This window comes from Homo sapiens, chromosome 4 (assembly GCF_000001405.40).
Source record: "Homo sapiens chromosome 4, GRCh38.p14 Primary Assembly".
Lineage (NCBI taxonomy): Eukaryota > Metazoa > Chordata > Mammalia > Primates > Hominidae > Homo > Homo sapiens.
The window spans coordinates 36,883,539-36,886,081 of NC_000004.12; the positions used below are offsets into that span (position 1 = coordinate 36,883,539).

A 2,543-nucleotide genomic window follows, 5' to 3' on the forward strand; every position below is an offset into this window, starting at 1 on the left:
AGTAAAAGGACTATAGACTTCTGAGAATATTCTCATGTGTTTTTCAGGTACATGCAACTTCATGAGGATAGGCATTGAGAGTTGGGTTTTACCAAGATTAGTTTAGCCAAGCATGTGCTAGGAAGCAAGAGAAAGACAAGGAATTTGAAGATGTGTATAACTATAAATATTGTTTATATCATATTATGTGCATTACATTATATAGCTCTTACTACAAATTATTTCAGTTATTAGTTTTTGTCTCTCCTTCCCTGCTACAGCTCTTTGAAAATAGAAACTGAGTTTTATTCATCTTTGTATTCCTACCATCCAGTACAGATTCTGTCAATATGATATTTGCTGATTGAGCGAATGGATGAAATAATCTTTTTTCTTTCATAATATCGCCCTTGGTTATAAATAACCATTTTCTCATTATTACATGTAAACCTTTATTATCCAACTCTCAAAATCACCTTGTAGTAACAAAAGAAGGACGCTGTGTCCCCAGCCATTATAACCATATTTCAGGAAACAGGAGAATCCAGGGGAAAAGAACATTTTAAAAGTCCCAAACAACAACTTTTGCTTTTGTATCATTGTTGAGAACTGGATCACTTGGCTGCTTTCAACTTCAAGGGATGCTGGGGAATACGGTATTTTGGTTGAACACTGGAAGTTTAACTCAAAAACTGTGAAGGGTCTGAAATTTTACCCTATATGCAAGCAAACAAGTTATCCTGCCATAGTTTGATATGTAAATTCTGACAGGCGCCTCAGGATTTCTGGTTCATGGACCTAGGCAGTTAATTACTCATGGTTTGTGTCAGTTGCCCTCACTCCAGTTCCTCTTAAGACAGGAGGTTCTGAGAATCAGTAACTGCCTGCATATATAGTGTGTTTGCATCCCAGAAGAGGAACACCAAAATGATCAAACTCAGTGTATACAGGGAATTCTGGCACAACTACCGATCTTCTCTGGAAGGAAAAATACTTTTACTGTGAATGTAAACAAATATACTTTGGGGAGAGGAGAGATGGATTAAGCCTCTAGGTTTCTTACCCCGGAAAGTAAGTGATTGTCTCTGGGGAGACACATCTCTAAATCTCTTCTAAAGAATAAACTATTGTTAGCTTTTAAAGCATGTTAGTTGTTCAGTCATTCCCTAACCTTATCAGTGATTGCTCAGAAGGCCTAGACCATGCATCAGTGTAAAAATATTCATGGAGAATTATCTCCCGAGAGTTACATAATGAGAATTATGTTCACACAAATGATAATTCTATTATTAGGATGAAAAATGAAAAGGATATTTTGATAAAGAAACAATAGTTTCTGTCATAAGAAAAATTTGAGCTAAAATTTTAATTTTTGTATTATATCTTATTTTCATTATTTTTAAATTTTACCATTTATAATGTATTATTTCTTTTCATCATGAAGTACTTTAAGTAAGTTGCTCAAATTTTCTAGACCTCAGCATCATCATTGATATAAAGTGCAAATATAATTGCATAACCACATTGTTAATCCAATGTTAATAATTTCTATTTCTAATATATTATAAGTTAAACATATCTACTTTAGAAATCTATTAAATGCATTTCTAGAAAAGTAGGTGTTAAATGCCAATCAAAAATATATATTTAATTACCTAAAAATGTGTACATATTATTGTATGTTTAGGGTTTTTTAATATGTATCCTGACTGCAATTTGAAGCACATATTGGTTCTATGAATTGAGACTTTTTTATTAAAAAAATTGGTCATCAGTATATAAAATATTGCTTATGTCACTTTTTCTCTTTCCATTCTTCCATAAACTTCAATCGAATATGTAGATATATGACACTTTCAACAAGTCCCATTTATTTCCTATAGATGTTTTATTCTTTTTTTACTTCATGCTTAAGTCTGTTATTGTCTTCTGTCATTTTCTAGATCGCTACTCTTCCCTTTAGCTTTTTTGATGAAAACATTCTGAGGTAGTAACTTATGACATTTTTAAGTTCTAGAATTGCCATTGAATGTTTTCATGAGTTTTTACATGTAACTTTGTATATGCAGAACTGTGAGTGGATTCTTTTTTCTTTTTCCTTCCAACGTTTATTTTAGATTCAGAGTGTACATGTGCAAGTTTGTTACATGGGTAAATTGCATGTCACTGGGGTTTGGTGTACAAATTATTTCATCATGCAGGTAGTAAATATAGTACCCAATAGGTAGTTTTTTGATTCTCACTCTCCTCGCAACCTCCACCCGCAAGTAGGGCCCGGAGTCTATTGTTCCCTTCTTTGTGGCTTTGTGTGCTCTATGTTTATTTAGCTCCCACTTGTAAGTGAGAACATGTCGTATTTGGCTTTCTGTTCCCTCATTAATCAACTTAAGATAATGGCCTCCAGCTGGCCTTCCTATCCATGTTACTGAAAAGAACATGATTTCCTTCTATTTTACGGCTGCATAATATTCCATGGTATATATGTACCACATTTTCTTTATTCAATTCACTGTTGATGGGCATCTAGCTTGATACCATGTCTTTACTATTGTGAATACTGTTGC

General features: G+C 33.3%; 1 annotated feature.

Moving 5' to 3' along the window:
* Positions 1,120 to 1,289: an enhancer, noted in NCBI's record as "experimental_78652 CRE fragment used in MPRA reporter constructs". NCBI's record gives its function as "activates a minimal promoter by MPRAs in K562 erythroleukemia cells, with activity observed for both the introgressed and non-introgressed 4:36886365 variant alleles {active_cell/tissue: K562}" and the evidence as "EXISTENCE:reporter gene assay evidence [ECO:0000049][PMID:34662402]".